This window comes from Homo sapiens, chromosome 7, assembly GCF_000001405.40.
Source record: "Homo sapiens chromosome 7, GRCh38.p14 Primary Assembly".
NCBI classification, from domain to species: Eukaryota; Metazoa; Chordata; class Mammalia; order Primates; family Hominidae; genus Homo; species Homo sapiens.
The window spans coordinates 53746487-53768573 of NC_000007.14; the positions used below are offsets into that span (position 1 = coordinate 53746487).

General features: G+C 35.1%; 1 long non-coding RNA gene across 1 annotated transcript in view; it reads right to left on the reverse strand.

Annotated features, from left to right (window-relative positions):
* The window catches only part of LINC01446 (long intergenic non-protein coding RNA 1446), a 156423-nt gene that overhangs the window by 90978 nt on the left and 43358 nt on the right, over positions 1-22087 (reverse strand). Inside the window, exons 3-4 of the long non-coding RNA NR_038371.1 lie at positions 18997-19741; positions 18641-18759 (exon numbers count right to left, since the gene is read on the reverse strand). This is a non-coding gene — a long non-coding RNA (long intergenic non-protein coding RNA 1446). The remainder of the gene's footprint in view (positions 1-18640; positions 18760-18996; positions 19742-22087) is intronic.

The following is a 22087-nucleotide window of genomic DNA, read 5'->3' on the forward strand; positions in this document are numbered from 1 at the left end:
GACAAAAACGGACTTTAAACCAACAAAGATAACAAATGATAAAGAAGGGCATCATATAATGGTAAAGGGATCAATACAACAAGAAAACCTAAGCATCATAAATATATATACACACCCACCACAGGCAGAATCAGATTAATAAAGCCAGTTCTTAAAGATTTAGAAAAACGAGATTTAGATAACCCTAAGTGGGAAACACCCAACTCACAGTATCAGAAAGATTATCAAGGCAGAAAACTGACAAAAATATTTGGGACCTGAACTCAACACTTGACCAAATGGACCTAACAGACATCTACAAAATTTCCTACTCCCAAAAAGAGAATATACATTCTTCTCATTTGCACATAGCACATACTCTAAAATTGACCACAACACTGCCCATAAAGCAATCCTCAGCAATTGAAAAAAAGCTGAAATCATACCAACCACACTTTTGGGACCACAGCAAAATAAAAATAAAAATAAATACGAATAAACTCATTCAAAACCATACAATTACATGGAAATCAAACAACCTGCTTCTGAACGACTTTTGGGTAAAAAATGAAATTAAGGTAGATATCAAGAAATTCTTTGAAACTAATGAGAACAAAGTGACAACATACCAGAATCTTCAAGACATAGCAAAAGCAGTGTTGAGGGAATTTTACAGCACTAAACACTCACGTGAAAAAGTTAGAATAATCTAAAATTAACAACCTAATATCATACCAAAAAGGACTATAAAAACAAGAGCAAACCAATCCCAAAGCTGGTAGACAACAAGAAATAACAAAAATCAGAGCTGAACTGAAGGAAATTGAGAGGGAAAAAAACCATGCAAAAGATAAGTGAATACAGGAGTTTGTCCTTTGAAGGAACAAATAAGATTTTTATTAGTCTAGACACTAGCTAGACTAATAAAAAAGAGAGATCTACGTAAACATAATAGGAAATGAAAAACGGGACATTACCACTGACCCAACAGAAATATAAAAAACTCTCAGAGACTACCATGAACATCTCCATGCACACAAACCAGAAAACCTAGAATGAATGGATAAATTTCTGTAAATATATAACCTGTCTAGGAAGAAATACAATCCCCGAACAGACCAATAATGATTTCTAAAATTGAATCAGTAATAAAAAGCCCACTAACTAGAAAAAGCCTATGACCAGATAGATTTACAGCCAAATTCTCCCAGATGTATAAAGAAGAGCTGGTGTGATTTCTACTGAAACTATTCCAAAAAATTGAGGAGGAGAGACTCCTCCCTAACTCTTCTATGAGGATAGCATCATCCTAATTCTAAAACCTGGAAGAGGTACAACCAAAAAAGAAAAAAATAAAATAAAATAAAATAAAATAAAATAAAAAAACTTCAGGCCAATAACTTTGATGAACCCAGATTCAAAAATCCTCAGCAAAATAATAGCAAACTGTGTCTAGCATCACATCAAAACGCAAATTCACCACAATCAAGTATACTTTATTCCTGGAGGCAAAGTTAGTTCAACATACACAAATTAATAAATTTAATGCATCACATAAACAGAACTAAAAACAAAACCATATGATTATATCAATAAATACAGAAAAATGTTTTTATAAAATTCAACATCCTTTCATGTTAAAGACTGTCAACTCACTAGCATGGAGGGGAAGATATTTCAAATTAATAAAAGCCATCAATGACAAACCCATAGCCAACATCATACTGAATGGGCAAAAGCTGGAAGCATTCTGCCTGAGAAACAGAAAAAGACAGATGTCTACTCTCAGCACTCCTATTCATCATAGCATTGAAAGTCTTAGCCAGAGCAATCAGGCAAGAGAAAGAAATAGAAGACATCCAAATAGGAAGAAAGGGAGTCAAACTATTATCTTTGTTTGCATATAACATGATTCTATAACTAGAAAACCCCATGGTTTTCTAGGGTTTTCATAGTTTTTTAGAAAACCTCACAGTTTTCTGTGGCCAAAAGCTGCTAGATCTAATAAACAGCAACTGCAAAGTTTCAATATACAAAATCAATGTAGAAATACCAGTAGCATTTCTGTAAATCCACAGTCTCCAAGCTGAGAGCTAAATAAAGAGAATAAACCTATTCACAATAGCCAAAAATATACTAAAATACCTAGGAATAGAGCTAAGCAGGGATGTGAAAGATCTCTACAATGAGAATTACAAAACATTACTAAAGAATTCATAGGTATTACAGACAAATGGCAAAACCTTCATGCTCATGGATAGGAAGAATCAACATCATTAAAGTGGCCATACTGCCCAAAGCAATTTACAGATTCAATGCTATTCCTATCAAACTACCAATGATAGTCTTCACAGAATCAGAAAAAAAACTATTTTAAAATTAATATGGAACAAAAAAGAACCCAAATAGTCAAGGCAATCCTAAGCAAAAAAAGAATACAGCTGGAGGCATCATGTTACCCAGTTTTAAACTACACTACAAGGCTACAGTAACCAAAACAGCATGGTACTGGTTAAAAAAAAAAAAGAACAGACACATAAATCAATGAAACAGAATAAGGAGCCTAGAAATCATGCTTCACACCTACAGCCATCTGATCTTCAACAAAGTTGACAAAAACAAGCAATGGGGAAAGGACTTTCTATTCAGTAAAGATGGTCCTGAAATAACTTGCTAGCCATATGCAGAAGATTAAAGCTGGACCCCTTCCTTACACCATGTACAAAAATCAACTCCAGATGGACTAAAGACTTAGCTGTAAGACCTAAAACTATAAATACTGTGGACAAGAACCTAGGCAATATTATTTAGAACATTGCCCCTTGCAAAGGTTTTATGATGAAGATACCAAAAGCAATTGCAGCAAAAGCAAAAATTGACAAATGGGACTTAATTCAACTAAAGAGCTTCTGTGCAGAAGCATAAACTATCAACAGAATAAGCGACAACCTACAGAATGGGAGAAAGTATTTGTAAACTATGGATCTGACACAAGTCTAATATCTAGAATGTGTAAGAAGCTTAAACAAAGTAACAAGCAAAATCAAGCAACCCCATTAAAAATTTGACAAAGGACATAGATACTTTTCAAAAGAAGAAATATACTTACTTAGATACTTTTCAAAAGAAGACCTATAAGCATATGAACAAATGCTCAAAACCACCAATCATCAGATAAATGCCAATCAAAACTACAATGAGATGCCATCTCACACTAGTCAGAATGGCTATTATTAAAAAGTCAAAAAATAATAGATGCTGGTGATGCTGCAGAGTAAAATGAATGCCTATATACTGCTAGTGGGAAGGAAAATTTGTTCAGCCGTTGTGGAAAGCAGCTTGGCAACTTCTTAGAGAACTTGGAACAGGACTAACATTCAACTAGGTATACACCCAAAGGAATATAAATTGTTCTGTCACAAAGACAAATGCATGTGTGTAATCATTACAGCACTATTCACAATTGCCAGGTCATGGAATCAAGCTAAATGCCCATCAGTGGTAGAATGGATAAAGAAAATGGGGCACACATAATCATAGAATACTATGCAGCCATAAGAATGAATTAGATCATGTCCTTTGCAGAAACATGGATGGAGATGAAGGCTTTTATCCTGAGCAAACTGATGCAGGAATAGAAAACAAAATACTGTGTTTTCTCACTTATAAGTGAGAGCTAAATGTTGAGTACACAAGGACGGGGAAAACAGACACTGGAGCCCCCTTGACTGTGGAGCCTGGGAGGAGGGTGAGGATCAAAAAACTACCTATCAGGTATTGTGCTTATTACCTGGGTGACAAAATAATTCGTACACCAAATCCCCATGACATTCAATTTATCTGTATAACCAACCTGCATATGTACCCCTGAACCTAAAATTAAAGTTAAAAAAGAAATTTAAAAAGTTGGTATGTTTTTATATGCTTATTATCTCTTTGGATATTTGCTTTGGTGTGGCCTTTTGTCCAGTTTTTATTAGGTTCATTATTTTCTTATTGTTGAGTATTATGAGTTTTCCTTGTATCTAAGAAATAAGCCTTTTATCTGAATCATGTTCTGCAGGTATATTCTCCCAGTTTGTGCCTTGAATTTAATTATCTTAATTGTGTCTACACCGACTAAAATTTTTTAATGTTAATATAGTCTAATTGATCAGCTTTTCCTTTCATAGGTCATGCTCTTAATATTGTATCCAAAAATTCATTATCAAATATACATTCACGTAAATCTCTTCTTTTAGAATTGTAAATAATTTAGGTTCCATATTTAAAATTATGATCAATTTAGAGAAAATTTCTTTGTGAAAGATAAAAAGTCTGGGTTTACTTTTTGTTTTGTTTGCAGATGGACTTCCAAATATATAGCACCATTTGTTAAAAAAAAAAAAACAAACTAAGCTTTCTACACTGGATTGATTATTCAACAAAAAATAAATTGACTCTATTTGTATGGCTCCACTTCTAGGCTATCTATTCTAATAATCTATATGCCTGTTATTTTACCAATACCATGCTATTTTGATTACTATAGCCTTATCATACATATTGAAATCAAGTAATTTATATCATTCTATCATCCTACTTTGTTATTCTTCTTCAGTATTGTATTGGCTATTTTCTCTTCACAGTAACTTTGGAATCAATTTGTCAAATAATTGATAACAATATTATGTCTTACAATCAGTGAACATATACTATGTGCCTACTTATTTAGATTTTTGTTTTTTTATCAGAAGTCTTAGTTTTCACATATAGATTCTATGCATGTTTTAGACATACTTACTTTTTTTATCTTTTCCAGTTTACTTTTTCATAGTAATGCTTTATTTTTTGATGAAGCTGTGCTCATTTTTTAGTTCCAGGAGTTATTTGTAGATTTTTTGTAATTTTTTTAAATAACAAAATTATGTAATCCACGAAAAGGACAGTTTTAACTCTTCCTTTGCAATCTCTCTATGTTTTCTTTCCTTTAATTTTGTCTTATTATACTAGCTAGTATTTTAGTATAGTTTTGAATAGGAGTAGGGAAAGAACACACTTTCCATGTTCTCAAATATTAGGGGAAAATTGTCAAATTTCTCACCATTACCTATAATTTTTGTGGATATTCTTTATCTAGTTGAAGAAGTTCCCCTCTTTTCCCAGTTTGATCACTGCTTTGATTATTAATGGGTGTTAAAATTGTCAAATACTATTTTTTATGCATCAGTGGTTATAAGTATACAATTTTTGCCTCTTAATATGGTATACCATTGCATAGATTGATTTTTGAATGTTGAACGATCCTTGTATTCCAGTACTACATCTCATTTGGGTTTAGTATATAATGATTTTAGACATCATTGGATGCAATTTACTAATAAGTTGCATCCAATTTATTAATAAATTTATTGAGGGTTTTTGCATCTATGTTCATGTTCATTCCAGGGAATTCATCCATTTCATTTAGTTTATCAGTATTGGTCTCTACATTTCCATTCCTGTCATGTCTTTATCACGTTCTGTTTTTAGAAAAATGCTAGTTTCATAAAATACATTTGGAAGTGTTTCTTCTGATATAATTTCTGGAAGAGATTGTGGAGAATTGGTATAATTTATTTCTTAAATGTTTGGTAGAATTCACCAATCCAGGCCTTGCATTATCTGTTTTGGAGTGTTATTAATTATTTATGCCATTTATTTAGTTGACATATATCTATTCAAATAATCTATTTTTCCATGTGTGGACTTTGCTAGGTTTTGTATTACAAGGAAATGGTCCAGAGTTTGTTCTATGGAAGGGCCATATATGCAAAGCAACCCCCAAATGCCAGAGGAGACAAGAAACCAAAGGAGGCAGGCAAATCCAGTTTGTTGGTATTGGTTGATTTATTAAGGGAACTTATAGACAAAAGCATGGTCTTGGGGCAGCCATCTGGCAGGTAGATCTCTGCACTGTCACTCCCCAGACAAGGCTCATATACCGCAGGAAAAGAGTATGTGCTCTAGAGATACAATTAAAGGTGACCCTCCAGAACAGGCAAGAGTGCTATGAGCTTCATAGCCTTTAATTTGTGTGATAACATCAAGGTTGCTTTGTTCTTACACTAGGGACAGTAAATAATGTAGGAATCAGGAGGCATATATGGAATTAATTATAGGTCAACATGGCATATTAACATCCAAGACAGAGTCACTTTTGTCTCCATGGAGTTCATAATATATATTTTTATTATGTTCTTAATACCAATGGTCTCAGTAATGATGACACTCTTTCTTTACTGGTATTATTAACAGTAATGTGTGCTTTCTCTCTTTTTTTTTCTTGGTTAGTCTGGCATAATTACTAATTTTATCAATCTTTTCAAAGAAGCAGCTTTTGGTTTCATTGACTTTCTTGAAATATTTTCTATTTTATTGATTTCTGCTTTCCTTTTTATTACTTGATTTCTTCTGCTTGCTTTAGGTTTAAATTGCTCTTCTTTATCTAGTTTCCTAAATTGAAAAATTAGCGTATAGATTTTATATCTTTTCCCTTTTCTAATATATGCTCTTGGTGCTATACATTTCCCTCTAAACACTGTTTTTAATACATCCCACGATTATATCTTCTGAAACTGCCCCACAGTTCTTGGAAGCTTTTTTTCTTTTTGTTTTTCATTTTATTTTCATTTTGCATTTCTATTGGGGTAGATTCTGTGGACCTACTATCAAGCTCACTTATTATTTTATTTAACTTTGTCTAGCCCACTTATGAGCCATTAAAGCATTTCTTTCTGCTCTTAGAATTTTCCTCTGTTAAGGACTAAATGTGTGTTCCTTCAAAATTCATACTTTACAACCTTAACTCTTAATATGATAATATTCAGAAACAGGGCCTGTAGGAGATATAGAGTTGGATGAATTCATAAGAGTGGATCCCTCATGCAGGGATTATTACTCTTATAAGCAAAGACACAAGAGAGCTTGTTAGTTCTCTCTCTCTCTCTGTCTCTCTTAACCATATGATAACACAGCACAGAGGACATTTGCAAGATAGAAATAACCCTCAACAGAAACTTAATTGGCTGCACATTTATCTTAGACTTCCAAGCCTCTGGAAGTGTAAGAAATTAAATTCTATTGTGTAAATCACACCGTCTATGGTATTTTATTATGACAGCCCGAACAGACTAACACAGGTTTCTGCACTGGGAGCGAGTGCTGATGTATTAGAACAAATGCCTAAAAATCTGCAACTGTTTTTAGAGTGGATAATGACTAGAAACTAAAAGAGTTCTTAGGTACTAAGAATTCTAAAAATATGAATGTTAAGGGTGATTCTGCTGAGGTCTCAGATGGAAATAAATAAAATCTTATTGGGAACTTGAGGAAAGTTAATCCTTGTTATAACGTGGCAAAAAAACTTGACTGAACTGTGTTCTAATCTTTTGTGGAAGGTAGAATTTGCAAGTGATGAAATTAGATATTTAGCTAAGAAAATTTATAAGTAAAGTGTTGAAGGAGTGACTTGGTTCCTCCTGGATGGTTGTCATAAAGCGTGAGGGTAGTAAGATGGATTGAAGAAAAAATTGCTAAGCAAAAAAAGAACAGACCTTGAAGATTTCAAAAATTATCTGCCCATCAATATCATAAGCAAAAAAAAAAAAAAAAAAAAGAGAGAGAGAAAGCCTATCCTGAAGATCACCTAAGGATGTGGCTGCACTATTACTTGATAATTTGTAGGATTATACGAGCAGAAACACTGCCAGTCTGAATTGGAGGGGATGGAGACAGAATGAAACAAATGAAGGCTGTTGGACTCCTTGGATTTTACAGGATGTGACAGTAGAGCCATTTGGCTGCAAATGTGCACTGTTCTTCAAGAGAAAAAAAAATGACTTCAAATGTGACTCAGAGATTACCACGGCCACTACCTTATGGTTAACAGGAGGCTTGGTTGTGGGACAGCCCTTCGCGGGTTTTGGATCTGGGCCACCCAGCATCTTGGGGCCTGGCCTCTACCTCATAGAGCCTTGGGGTTTGCACCCCTGCTTAACAAAGCCATGGAGGCAGGGCCATGGTCCCAGTGGGCACAGAAGTTGACACCACCTCTCAGCTGGACTACAGGACAGAATATCAAGCCAAAAGAATTATTCTCATGATTTAAGATATAATGTAATTTGCTTTGCTAGGTTTGGGACTTGCTTGAGTCCTGTCACCCCTTCCTTCCTTCTTATATCTCCCTTTTGAAATGAGAATGTCTACCCAATGCATATCTCATCATGATATTTTGAAAGCATAAAATTCATCTGGTTTCACTGGTTCACATCTGGAGACAAAACTTATATCAGGATAAATTCTACCAGGAGCCTCACCCATACCCAATTTATATGATATTTAAATGAGAATTTGGACTTTAGGCTTTAAGGGTGCTACTGGAATGAGTTAAGAATCTGGTGGCTGTTAAGATGCAATATATGTATTTTGTATGCAAGAAGGACATGAATTTTGGGTGGCCAGGGGCAGAATGTTAGGGATTAAGAATTTGTGTCCCTAAAATTTCATAAGTTGGAGCCCTAACCTCCAGTGTGATGTATTTGGAAATTGAGTCTTCAGGAGATAACTAGGGTTAGACAAGCTCATGAGGATGGGGCACTCATGCTGGGATTAATAACCCAATAAGAAGACAGGCCAGAGGGTGCTCTCTTGCAAATGCATTTGCAAGACAGAAGAAAGCCCTCGCTAGTAACAAAATGGACCATCCCCTTTATTTTGGACTTCCCAGTGTCCATATCTCTTTTTAAAAAGTTAATTTCTGTGGTTTAAGGCACCCAGTGCATGGCATTTTTTTATGGCAGCCCAAGCTGAAAAACACATCTCTTTGCTTACATTTTCTGCTTATGCCATTAGCACTGCTAACATGTTAATCACAGATCAATTCCCTCTTTGATATTTACAATGTTGGTGTCATACATATGTCTGCTTTCAATTTTTGTTTTCTCTCTTCAGACTGTTTTCACTTGCCTTTGGATATTCTTTTAGGTTTTTGTTGTCAGCTAGACATGTTATGTAGGGTAAGAGAGGTAAAGTGATTTTAGAGTTTGGATTTATATAATTATTCCTAGGAGTTGGTCTTTACTCTTTGCTCTTGTTGTAGGTGCCAAAGGTGTCAAGTTTTACTATTGTTTTGTTTGCTTGTTTTTCTTCTCGACTTTGGGCAACTCTAAGTACTTCCCAGAGAGAGTCTGCTTACATCACTTTTTCAGTTTTAATTTACTATTACTATACTGAAGACCCGCTGGTGTGATGGTAAGGTGTGATGGAGGAGAAGCATTCTATAATATTATTATTAAACCTCAGATTTTTAATCGGCTTGTGTTTCTGTGCTGCGGCCTTCATAAAAGTTTTTCTAGTGGTATAGCCCACACACATATAGACTTACACACACCCAGACACATGCACACACACACATGCATGCATGTGCACACACACCACTCTTTCTTGAGATGTGAAGGCAAAAATAAAAGAATTTCTTTCTTCTATATGAGGAAAGCTTCTGGTAAAGAATTTTTCCGGGAAGAGGCTTTTGTTTTGCAGAATGCTCTGAGCAAATTTCACAATGATGAAATTTTCATCACTTTTCTTCCCCTGCTTGAGCCAGAAGAACTTTCTCAGCTCTTCTTCATGAGAACATGTTGGGATCTTGGACATAAAACCCATGAATAAGTGGTGCTCCTTTTAAGACAACAATCCCAGAAGCCTTTCTCTATCATGTTAGTCCACACTCAGCCTCCTCCAGCAGTTTGCCGAAATTCCCATTTGAATGCCTCCTCCTGCTAAGGTCCCAATATCTTCTAAGCCACAAAAGTAGCTCAGGATGCCACCCTTTGGAATTGCCTGCCTCTCCAGAGTTTAGAGTGACTGTTGGCTCTGCCAACTCAGGTGTCTGAGGGATCCAAGAAAAGCTGCTAATTCTCATCTGTTCAGCATTTACTTGTTACAGAAACAGGAGTGCTGACTTCTACACTATTTCTTGTGAGAGCAAAATTCAATTCCCTGTATTACTTTTTAAAAATATTTCCATTTTCTACATATTTTGCCTCAACTCATCATTTGTAGATTTCATAGAGGAATTCAACCTTCATTTGATTGAATGTTAGTGTATCACTTGTTGATACTACTTCATAAACTCATCTGTGTACCAACTTCAAGCATAAACAAAATGTTTCTCATCAAATAGAGATACATACTTAAGTCTTGTCTTGTATACCTTATACACCTCTTTGAAATAGTAATCAGAAGTCATTCACTAATATAGAGACTATATACACAAATAACTCTAGCATAATTAAAACAACAAAAACATATTTACAATCTAATAATCTTGTAGCAGTTTTTAATGTTATCTTTTGCTGCTAGTTTATCATTTGACAGCTTCTGTACAATTGGAGAAATTGCCTCTCATGCACACTTAAGTGTGTCATCCTTGTATGCGTCTCTTTTTCCAGGTGTTGCTCTAGTGCTCTTGGTGCTGCTGCTAGAAACCCCCTGCTAGGTTGCCATGCAATTGTAACTGGAGGAACCCCATGAGGAAAATGAGAGGTGGGGTGGTGAATAATTTTTTTCTCCCTTTCTTTTCTTCCTCATACAAGATCTGAAGATGACTGTAATGAGACTTCTCTGCAAATGTTCTGTAGAACAAAAATCGGTTGCACTTAGTTTTGACACGCTTGATGATACATTCTAAGACAGCTGTCTCTCCTTTCCTGCTTCACTCTGCCTCTCTCTGTGTTCCTTGGGTATAATGCTGTCAATATTAGCATCAGCTTATGCTTTCCGGGGAGCCTAGGCTAAGCCAAGTGAAGCCCCAGGTGATGTCTTTGCAAAAATAGAAGTAACTGTCCCTGGGTTCTATTGCCTACCTGTTCCTTCCTAAGGCCAAATTTCTGAACTTAAACCAAAGTGAAGTTACGATGTAAAATACCAAAGCCAGATGCTGATTAAGGCATGAGATGCATTGTTTCCTCAGCTTTAAAATTTAAGAAAAATTCAGGTGCCTTCAATTCTCTTATTTGTTACATGTAACTCATCATTTCACTAACAATAAAAAACAAAACACATGCACAATGAGTGAGATGAAATGAAAGTCACCTCATCTCAACTAGTCTTCATAAAACACTTTCTCCCATGTGAAAGTCTGTTTTGCCAAACAGAGGCCTTTAGTTCCCTATAGATCTAACCTCAGTAAGCCAAGGATAAATGCACTCTTAACTGGTCATCTGATTTTTAAAAAATAGAAACCTGCCAGCCTTCTCTCCCAATTGAATAGAGATTATTTTATTCACACTAAAATGTATAGTAGTTTAATTCTTGATAAATTTGCCATATGGGTGCTGAGGTCATAATTATCCACATGGAGTGGGAAAATCTGGGCATGGCTATTCCTCTACAGGCCATAGCTGTATGTCCTATCACTCTGTGAAGCATCTGTATGATCAAAATGGTTATTCATCACTCAAACTCTAATTCTGTCCACACAAATCAATAAGGGAGAAGCTGTAGCAAATCTATATGATCTCCTAAATTATCTTTATATAGACAAAGGACTTGTGTCTTAACAAAAATGGGTCAAAATACTTAATATTTTAACATAATGCATTGTACCCTACTTTATAATTGTAATTATATTTATAATATTTTAATGGCCTAAGCCTACTTTAATGACTTAAACCCAGTTTTGAATGAATTTAAAGGGTCCTTCTTGCTATTAGGTAGAAAATTATATGGCTTCTTTCAGCACTAAGTATAAAGGTTTTATTTTTGTCTTGTATAAGTGGACTCAACAGACAATTAGCTCTGCAACCTCATTAATTGCAGAAAGAATGGTACAGTGGCACAATGTCAAATATATTTAAATTGTAATACTTATTTTGGCAGATGTCAGCCAATATTTAATTGGCTTTTTTCCAACAAGTGCATAAAATATATAAAATCCATAAGTTATATGTAGGTGAATGTATCAAATAATTCATCTTGTAGTTCACCAAGAAGTGAAATTACTTAGCAACATTGTCCATAGGCTTAATTCAGTTTGCATGTATGTGGGTTTGACTGTAATGTGCAATTTCAATTAGAAGTCACCAATTGTAATATTAAAAATTCAATAATGCAAAAATTTAGTTCTTCAATTATCATTTGAAAATTACTAAAGACAATCTAAAATGAAATCCTCTTTCTTTCCACAGGCCCTTGTTTCATTCCTTGTAGAGGTAAAGTGGTTATTTAAGAATGTGTCTATTTATGTATCTTAATTTTCTTAGGAATGTTCGAAATTTCCATTGTTGATTGGTTGACAATCCATGTTAATCTATCTGAAGTAGCTCTTTAGAGGAAATGTAATCTTAAGCCATCTGCTTATTAATCCTTATTAATAATAATTTCAGAGAAATAATATTTGTAGACAATGTTCTAACATAATGCATGGTGAAATATTTTCTCAAGTATTCTAAATTGTAGCCTTAGGTTAAATCTACAACATTCAAGAATGGTTCCTTTGGACAATAATTTAGTCCTTCATAGAATGTATGCTATTGAAATTTAATTTGGCATTATTCAATTAACCTATCTTAAGGGACATTACAATAAACAGCTCTAGAATCTCTTCATTACATAAATTTTGGCAGTCATGTCAAGAAACTTGTCCAATAAATTGTTACTCTTCACAATGTAGTCTGCACATAAGTTTAGATCTACGAAATTTTGTTACTGGTCCATGACTAGAAAAGGAAAGAAATTCAAGTAAAGCGTTTTACCAATGTTTGTGGAATAAAGTAATTTTATGTCTGTTGATTATAATAATAAAAATAAGACTTTATATATCTTTAATATTTTTACTTTCATCATCATTGTGTCTTGCAAAAAAAAAAATCAGCTACAAAGTATTGGAACTAAAAAATAACAGTGGAAAGGTCATTCACTCTAGCTAGTTTGAGAAGCACTGTACCACCTCTTGTGGTAGATGCCTCAGCAGAATCCATAGACACTTCTCAGGCTCCTCTTGAGGGAAAACTTTCCCAAAATAAAATTTCAGCATTATCATCTGTTTGTTCATTTCTCCTTTTACCTTTGTTGTTTGTGTTGACTTTATAATACTAGAATCTGAAGACCATGTAATTTTTTCACCCATTTTTTTTTTTTGAGGTGGAGTTTTGTTTTTGTTGCCCAGGCTGGAGTGCAGTGGTGTGATCTCAGCTCACTGCAGCCTCCACCTCCCAGGCTCAAATGATTCTCCTGCCTCAGCCTCCCAAGTAGCTAGGATTACAGCCATGCACCAGCAAATCCAGCTAATTTTTTTTTTTTTTTTTTTTGTAGAGACGGGGTTTCTTGACTAGGGTTGCAATTATGCTTATCTTATGGGATGCCATAAGTACCAAATGAGACTATGAACAGAATTGGCCTTGCTATTAATGCCGTAGCCCAGAAGATGTATTTAACTTTTCACACTTATTATTATGATTTTGCACTATTAACTTCTGGTGGGCAAAGGCAGTATCAAAATCCTCATTTTATCACCAACATAATCAGAACATTGATGCTCTTAGAAGAGATAATGGTTCTTGGCAAGCTATTTGTGGCTTACCATTGTTTGGTGAAAGGAAAGCTTCAGAGTGAAATGTTGAGAATCAGCAGATGAACGAATAGCCAGTGGATGGGGAATGCAGCAGGTAGCTCTCCTGATCTGCCCACAGTCACATAAATGCTTATAAGGATGTAACTAAAGGCCAGTCACCTGCATTCACAGGGGGCAAGAATCAGAGAAACACCCCTGTGCCTTCATAGTTTAACGTTTCTTCCTCTTATGTTTACAGTGCCACGTGCGTACTTTATCTAGTTCAGGTTTCAATGCTCAGCCCCAAAGAGAACAAGGGAGAAAAGGACTAATTTTACATCACTGAAATTATTCCAGCTAAAACAAAATGTTCTTGTAACAGATGTAATTTGCATAGGCTTTTTTCCTTTTTCCTTTTTTTCCTTGAATTCATTTGTATTCCAATTAGTATTCTTCCACTGAATTCTGTTGGATGAACCCCAAGTAAGTGGATTGTCTCATGACCCCTATGTTCTTTTTGGTCTTCTAATAAATCTGGATAAATCATTTTACATTCATATCTAGTATGATGGTTAATATAAAAGAACTGTGATAAGCAAGATGGGTTGTCAGGAAATTTTTCAACCATTCTGAATCCACCATATCTTTGCTTTGAGACTTTTATTTCTTCAGATATAGAGATAAATCGAAAAAGGGGATCAGGTCATCAGAAAATCTTGGACATACATATAATGCAAATTACTCTGGTATTATATTAAGGTGTGTCTGAAACTACATTTAATATTTGATACATGCAAATTGGATTATAATATAAAGTTCCAAATTGAGATTTGGAGGCTGTGCTAAGAATATGAGGGAAATAGATGTGTAAACCTATTTAACTTTTCTGGGTATGCTTAATAGCAATTAGAGCAACTGATTTGTTTGTTTCAGCTAAGACTCACTTCAGGACTTCTTGAATGCTTTCCTTTCTATTTTAAGTAATTTTTAATTCAAAGTATATTATTTCCAAAAAGTTGATGATTGATTCATTTCAGCCCAATACTTTCTTTTTCGTGACCATTTATTATTTACATTATTCTATATATTCAAGTCATATTCTACTTTGTTCATTTACCATCATAAGATATACCTTTACTGTTGTGGCAGATGTACCCTCGGGTGACTCCCAGTGATCCATATGTCATGCCCTCCCATTGAATGATGGTAGTACTGCCACTTATTTCTAACCAATAGAATATAGTAACCAATAGGATATTCTAACCAATAGAACATAGTAAAGGTGACAAAATAGCACACATAACGTAGCATTTTTAGAAAATATAAGTCTTATCTTATCCAGAAAGAGAGACTTTGCTGCTGGCCTTGGAGAAGCAATGAAGGCCTACAGTTGGGGCCCCCTGGCTGAATTGTGGGCAGCATCTGGGACTGAGGAAGGTGCTCACCAGTAAGAAGTCAGGACCAAAGGCACAGATTTGGAACACAAGACTGGGTTCCAGAAAGAAACACAAACATGGTAACTACCTTGAGTTCAGCCTTGCAAGACCCTGACCACAGGACCCAGTCATGGACAGACTCCACACCCAGTACCACTAAGAAAAATGTGCATATTTTAAGCCATTAAATGTGATCATTTGCTGTGCAGCAATAGAAAAGTAATAAATGATGGTTTTAAAAGAAATCATCACAACCACTTTTTTTAAGGCTATATATTTTCCTGAGATTTTGAAAGATGGTAACTTTCATATTCAGTGTTTGAATGCTGGGCATTTAATTGGTTTCTAATATTTTCTCTAATGAATACTGTTATATTAATATTACAGATTATAGATTTTACTCATAGAATAGAAACTCAGAAGTATGGTTTGTAGTAATATTGCACTGAGGTTATTAACAAATGTGTTGACACTTATTGTTTAATTGCTTTCCAACATGTTTTTCTAATTAAGAGTAACAAGAAAGTATGAACATGATGTAGCATTTTGTGGATTATATATATATATATATGTATACACACACACACATATATATATACATACATATAGTTTTAATTACAGCTTTCATTTCAAGAATGTGAAACTGTCTAATTATTAGTTATTTACATTATCTTAGTAGACATTTTTGGTATTTTGGTTCAAATTTTTGTTGTTAGCATTTTGTTTTCCATACATGGTTTCTTTTTTATGCCTATAGATTATGTTATTTATTAATGGGTTGTTTTACAAATATTATTAATAGTCTACTGAAAAATAGAAAAAAATACCTCAAGAATGAGTAACTATATTTTTAGAATCATTTCGGTTTAACATTGTTTCTAGAAAAAATGGAGAAGAGGAATGCATCATTTCATCCTATTTTCCTTTATAGCTACTTAATTCCTTACCCTGTGTATGTAATGCTTATTGTATACAATAAAAGACAATTAAGTGAATAGAGCATATGCATCTATTTTAAAATTAGACATACTGTGACCCCATAAGTATGAATTCAAATTTTCTATTCAACTTCAGTGCAGATAAAAAAAATTCACAGTGTGTAAATTTTTCCCTGACCTTGATCTTGACCCAGCAAATCTACTTGGAAATCATGGCCATCAATTACTCCTTTCGTTCACTTGTCTTTGGCTTTTTTTAAATTTTATTTTTTCATATGTTATTGGTGTACAGGTGGTATTTGGTTACATGTCTAAGTTCTTTAGTGGTGATTTGTGAGATTTTGGTGCATCCATCACCCAAGCAGCATACACTGCACCATATTTGTAGTTTTGTATCCCTCGCTTCCCTTCCACTCTTCCCCCCAAGTCCCCAGAGTCCATTGTATTGTTCTTATGCCTTTGCGTCCTCATAGCTTAGCTCCCACATATCATTGAGAATATATGATGCTTGGTTTTCCATTCCCGGGTTACATCACTTAGAATAATAGTCTCCAATCTCATCCAGGTCTCCACAAATGTTATTAATTCATTCATTTTTATGGCTGTGTAGTATTCCATTGTGTGTATATATATCACAGTTTCTTTATCCACTCATTGATTGGTGGGCATCTATCTGGGTTGCTTCCACTATTTTGCAGTTGTGAATTGTGCTGCTGTACACATGTGTGTGCAAGTATCTTTTTCGAATAATGACTTCTTTTCCTCTGGGTAGACACCCAGTAGTGGGATTCCTGGATCAAACGGTAGTTCTACTTTTACATTTTAAGGAATCTCCACATTGTTTTCCACAGTTGCTGTACTAGTTTACATTCCCACAAGCATTGTAGAGGGGTTCCCTGTTCATCACAAATGGAATAAAAACTAAGATAAATATCTGGGATCTAATTAAACTAAAGAACTTTTGCACGGCAAAAGGAACCGTCAGCAGAGTAAACCAACAACCCACAGAGTGGGAGAAAATCTTTGCAATCTATACATCTGTCAAAGGTCTAATATCCAGAATCTACAACGAACTCAAACAAATCAGTAAGAAATAAACAAACAACCCCATCAAAAAGTGGGCTAAGGACATGAATAGACAATTCTCAAAAGAAGAGATACAAATGGCCAACAAACACAAAAAAATGCTCAACATCACTAATGATCAGGGAAATGCAAATCAAAACCACAATGTGATACCACCTCACTCCTGCAAGCATGGCCATAATCAAAAAATCAAAAAGCAGTAAATGTTGGCATCTTTGGCTTTTTCAACCTTGTTGGCTTGTGCCACGAAGATGGTGAGCTTTCTTTTTTACTTTCTTTTCTGGGGGGGTTGGGGAGGCCATGGGGGATATGGAGTCTTGCTCTGTCACCTAGGCTGGAGCACCACCTCCCTAATTCAAGTGATTCTTCTGCCTCAGCCTCCTGAGAAGTTGGGATTACAGGAGTCCGCCACTATGCCCAACTAATTTTTGTATATTTAGTAGAGACAGGGTTTTGCCATGTTGTCCAGGCTAGTCTCGAATTCCTGAGCTCAGGTGATCCACCTGCCTTGGACTCCCAAAGTGCTGGGATTACAGGCTTGAGCCACTGTGCCCAGCCTAAGCTTTCTTAATTCTTTCTGATCAATAACAAAAACAATGTGTTGGTTCCTATTTCAGCAATAATCTTCATAAGGTTCTGAGAAATGATGCATAATAACTGCGATATCAGTAAGAGATTACAATTTTCCCATTTTTTAAAGACTTCATTTTGTAGAGCAATTTTTATCTCATTTTTTAAAATTTCCAACTTTTAAGTTGACGGGTATATGTGTAGGATGTGCATGTTTGTTACATAGGTAAATGTATGCAATTGTAGTTTGCTGCACAGATCATCCCATCACTGAAGTATTAAGCTCAGCATCCCACACCCCATCCTCTCACCGCCCCCCCACATCCTCCCTCAGGCCCCAGTGTGTGTTGTTCCCCCCAATAGGTCCATGTGTCCTCATCAGTCATCTCCCACTTATAAGTAAGAACATGCAGTATTTGTTTTTCTGTTGCTGCGTTAGTTTGCTAAGAATAATGGCCTCCAGCTCCAGTCATGTCACTGCAAAGGACATACTCTCATTCCTTTTTATGGCTGCATAGTATTTCATGGTATATATGTACCACATTTTCTTTATCCAGTCTATCACTGAGGATCATTTAGGTTGATTCTATGTCTTTGCTATTGTGAATAGTGCTGCAATGAACATACATGTGCATGTGTCTTTATAACAGAATAATTTATACTTGTTTGGGTATATACCCAGTAATGGGATTGTTGGGTCAAATGGTATTTCTGCCTCTAGTCTTTGCGGAATCACTACACCATCTTCCACAGTGGTTGAACTTCCACCAAAAGTATAAAAGCATTCCTTTTTCTTGACAACCTCGCCAGTATCTGTTATTTTTTGACTTTTTAATAATCATCTGGTGGTATCTCATTGTGGTTTTGATATGCAATATTCTAATGATCAGTGACATTGGGCTTTATTTTATATTTGTTGGCTGCATGTATGTCTTCATTTGAGAATTGTCTGTTCACGTCCTTTGCCCACTTTTAGTGTAATTTTAGGTTCACAGCAAAACTGGGCAGAAAGTACATGAATATCTCACATAACCCCTCCCCCTACACATGCATAGACTCACTCATTATCAACTCCTTCCCAGGAGAGGTACATTTTTCCAAATTTATGACTTGCATTGATGCGTCATTATCATCCAAAGTCCACAGGTTACATTAGGGTTCAGTCTTGGTGTTGAACATTCTGTGGGTTTGGACAAAGGTATAAGGTTGTGTACCCACCATTATTGTATTATACAGAGTATTTGCACTGCCCTAAAAATCCTCTGTTCTCTTGCCTGTCCCTTTCTCTCTTCCTTTAACCCCTGGCATCACTAATATTTTTACTTTTTCCATAGTTTCGCCGATTTCAGAATGTCATAAAGTTGGAGCATAGAGCATGTTGCCTTTTGGACTCTTAAACTTAACAATATGCACTTACTTTTCCTCCATGTTTTTTTATGGCTTTCTTAGCTCATTTCTATTCAGCACTGAATAATATTCCATGGTCTGATTGTTCCACAGTTTATTCTTCCATTCACCGACTGAAGGACATCTTGGTTGCTTCCAAGTCTTGGAAATTATGTGTAAAACTTCTGTAAGCGTCCACGTGCCTGTTTTTCTGTGGGGACATACATTTTCAGCTCCACTGGGTAAATACCAAGGAGCACTGCTGGTAGATGGTATGGTAAATCCAAGTTTAGCTTTATAAGAAACCTCCAAGCTGTCTTCCAAAAGACTGTACCATTTTGCATTCCCATCAGCAATGAGAATTGCTCCACATCCTCAAGAGTATTTGGTGTCAGTGTTCTGGGTTTTGGTCATTCTAGGAGATGCATAGTGGTGTCTCATTGTTGTTTTAATTGCACTTTTCTGATGACATCTGACGTGCAGCATCTTTTTATATGTTTATTTCCTACCTGTCTATCATCTTTGGTGAGGTGTCTGTTAAGGTCTTTGGCCCATTTTTCAACCAAGTTGTTCATTTTCTTATTGTTGAGTGTTGAGTTCTTTGTCTATTTTGAAACTGAGAGGCAAAATAATGAAAGCAGCTCCTGAAGTGAGAATCCAATAAGGGCTCGGGGAGACTCTAGTAGCAACTTCAATGCTCAGCTTCTGATATACATCTATATTCTTGTCTTGGGAGTCCGTTGAATATTCCTGTTTCCTTCTAATTAAAGTTTCTTCTAAGTTAAAAAAAAAAAAAAGGAGTTATTTGTATATTTTGGACAAGAGTCTTTTGTCATATGTTTATTTTGCAAATATTTTTCCCAGTCTAGTCTTTTCATTCTAGTGACTGTATCTTTCACAGAGGAGAAACTTCCATCATGTTTCTTTCTTTCATAGATTGGGCCATTGGTGTCATAGCTAAGAAGCCATCATTGAACTCAAGTCATCTAGAGTTTCTTCTATGCTATCATCTAGGAGTTTTATAGTTTTGAATTTTACATTGAGTTCTGTGATCTATTTTTAATTAATTTTTGTGAAAGATGTAAGATGTAAGGTCTGTGTCTAGACTCCTTTTTTGCATATGAATGTCCAATTGTTTCAGCACTATTTGTTGAATAGACTGTATTTTCTCAATTGAATGTCTTTGCTCTTTTGTAAAAGATTGGTTAACTATATAGATATGTGATTTTCTGTTTTGTTCCTTTGATCTATTTGTCTATTATTTCACCAATGCCACAAGGTCTTGATTACTATAGGTTTATAGTAAGTCTTGAAGCCAGATAGTGTCAGTCCTTTAAATTCATTGTTCTCATTCAAAATTGTGTTGTCTATTCTGAGTCTTTTGCTTTTCCACATAAACCTTAGAATCAGCTTGTCAATATTCACAAATGAACTTGACTGGGATTGTTGACTGGGATTGCATTGAATGTTGCAATGCAATGTTGACTGGGATTGCATTGAACCTATAGATCATGTTGGGGAGAATTAACATCTTGACAATATTGAACTTCCTATTCATAAACATAGAGTAAGTCTCCATTTATTTGGTTCTTCTTTGATCCAATTTTTATTGTAAGAAAATCCACATAACTTAAAATATACTATCTTAAGTATTTTATGTGTAAAATTCAGTGGTATTAAGTACACTTGTATTGTTTTGCACCCACCACCACCATCGATCTCTAGAACTTTCATAATTCCAAACTGAAACTGTATACCCATTAAACAATGACTACCTATTCCCTTCTCCCCCAACCCCTGGTAACCACATTCTATTTTCTGTCTCTATGAATGTGGCTACTATAAGTACTTTGTATTAGTGAAAACATACATACCATATTTTGTGTGTGTGTTTGTGTGTGTATTTGAGTGTGTGTATGGGAGGGTGTGTGTGTGTGTGTCTGGCTGGCTGTTTCACTTAGTGTAATGTCATTGAAGTTCATTTCTGTTGTAGCATGTTTTAAGATTACCTTCTTTCTTAAGGTTGAAAAACTAAAAATGCATCACATTTTTTTAAATCCAACCTTCTGTCTGTCTACAGACACTTCAGGTAGTTTTCACGGTTTAGTGATTATGAATAGCTGCTATGAACATAGGTGAACAAACATCTTGTTAAGACGCTGCTTTCAGTTCTTTACGGTATATATTCAAAAGTGGAATTTCAGGATCATATGGCAATTCTATCTTTAATTGTTTTGAGAAACTGCCAAATTATTTTCACAGTAGCTGTACCATTTTACATTCCTACCATCAGTGCACAAGGGTTCCAATTTTTCCACATTCTTGCCAACAATTTTTTCCCTGCTTTTGTCTGTTTGGTTTTGTTGTCATCCTAGTGGGTGTGAGGGATTATATTTTAAAAAGTAATATTAAAATAATTAGTAAAATAAAAAGTAATTTTCACAAATCTTTTGTCATTTATTCATCATAAAACACCTACACTTTTGCTATGTGTTTTTATGTCCCTATTTTAAAATTGTGAAATTAACTTCTCTTATGTAGAAACTTATGGAACAAATACTGCAATCCAAGTCTTCTGACCTGAAATCAAGGATTCTCTCCATCATCCTATTTTACTATTTCCCCTACCAGTGCATTTCACAGAAGGACCTAGATAACCAATAATTTGGCTGAGTGGCAGTGTTTTAATTGTAATTTTGATGAATATCAAATGATAATGTTTCAATAAAATAAAGAAATGCCTGCTTGAGTAGCATATACCACTTTTCATGTTTCTCTCCACATTTTGAAGGCAGCCAGTCCTTTTCAACTGCTTTTCAGAGAAATGTAGCAGGAAGCAAAAACACATCTTCAGTGCTCTGAGTAATAACTTGACACATTGCTTAAAAAGAATCCCAGCTGTGCTGTTTCATAACTCATATGTTTGAAAGCTTCTGCTGATTTTTCTACATGTGGGGAATGGTTTTGCCTTATTTGCCACTTCAGTTTGCATGATTTCAAACATTCTGCTCAAAGAAAATTTCAAGCACTCAGCTCTTTTCAGAAACAAGGTATGCCTCTCTGCATAGAAAAAAAATGTCACCACAAGCAAGTATTCCCTTGGACAAGTTCACCTTCATGAC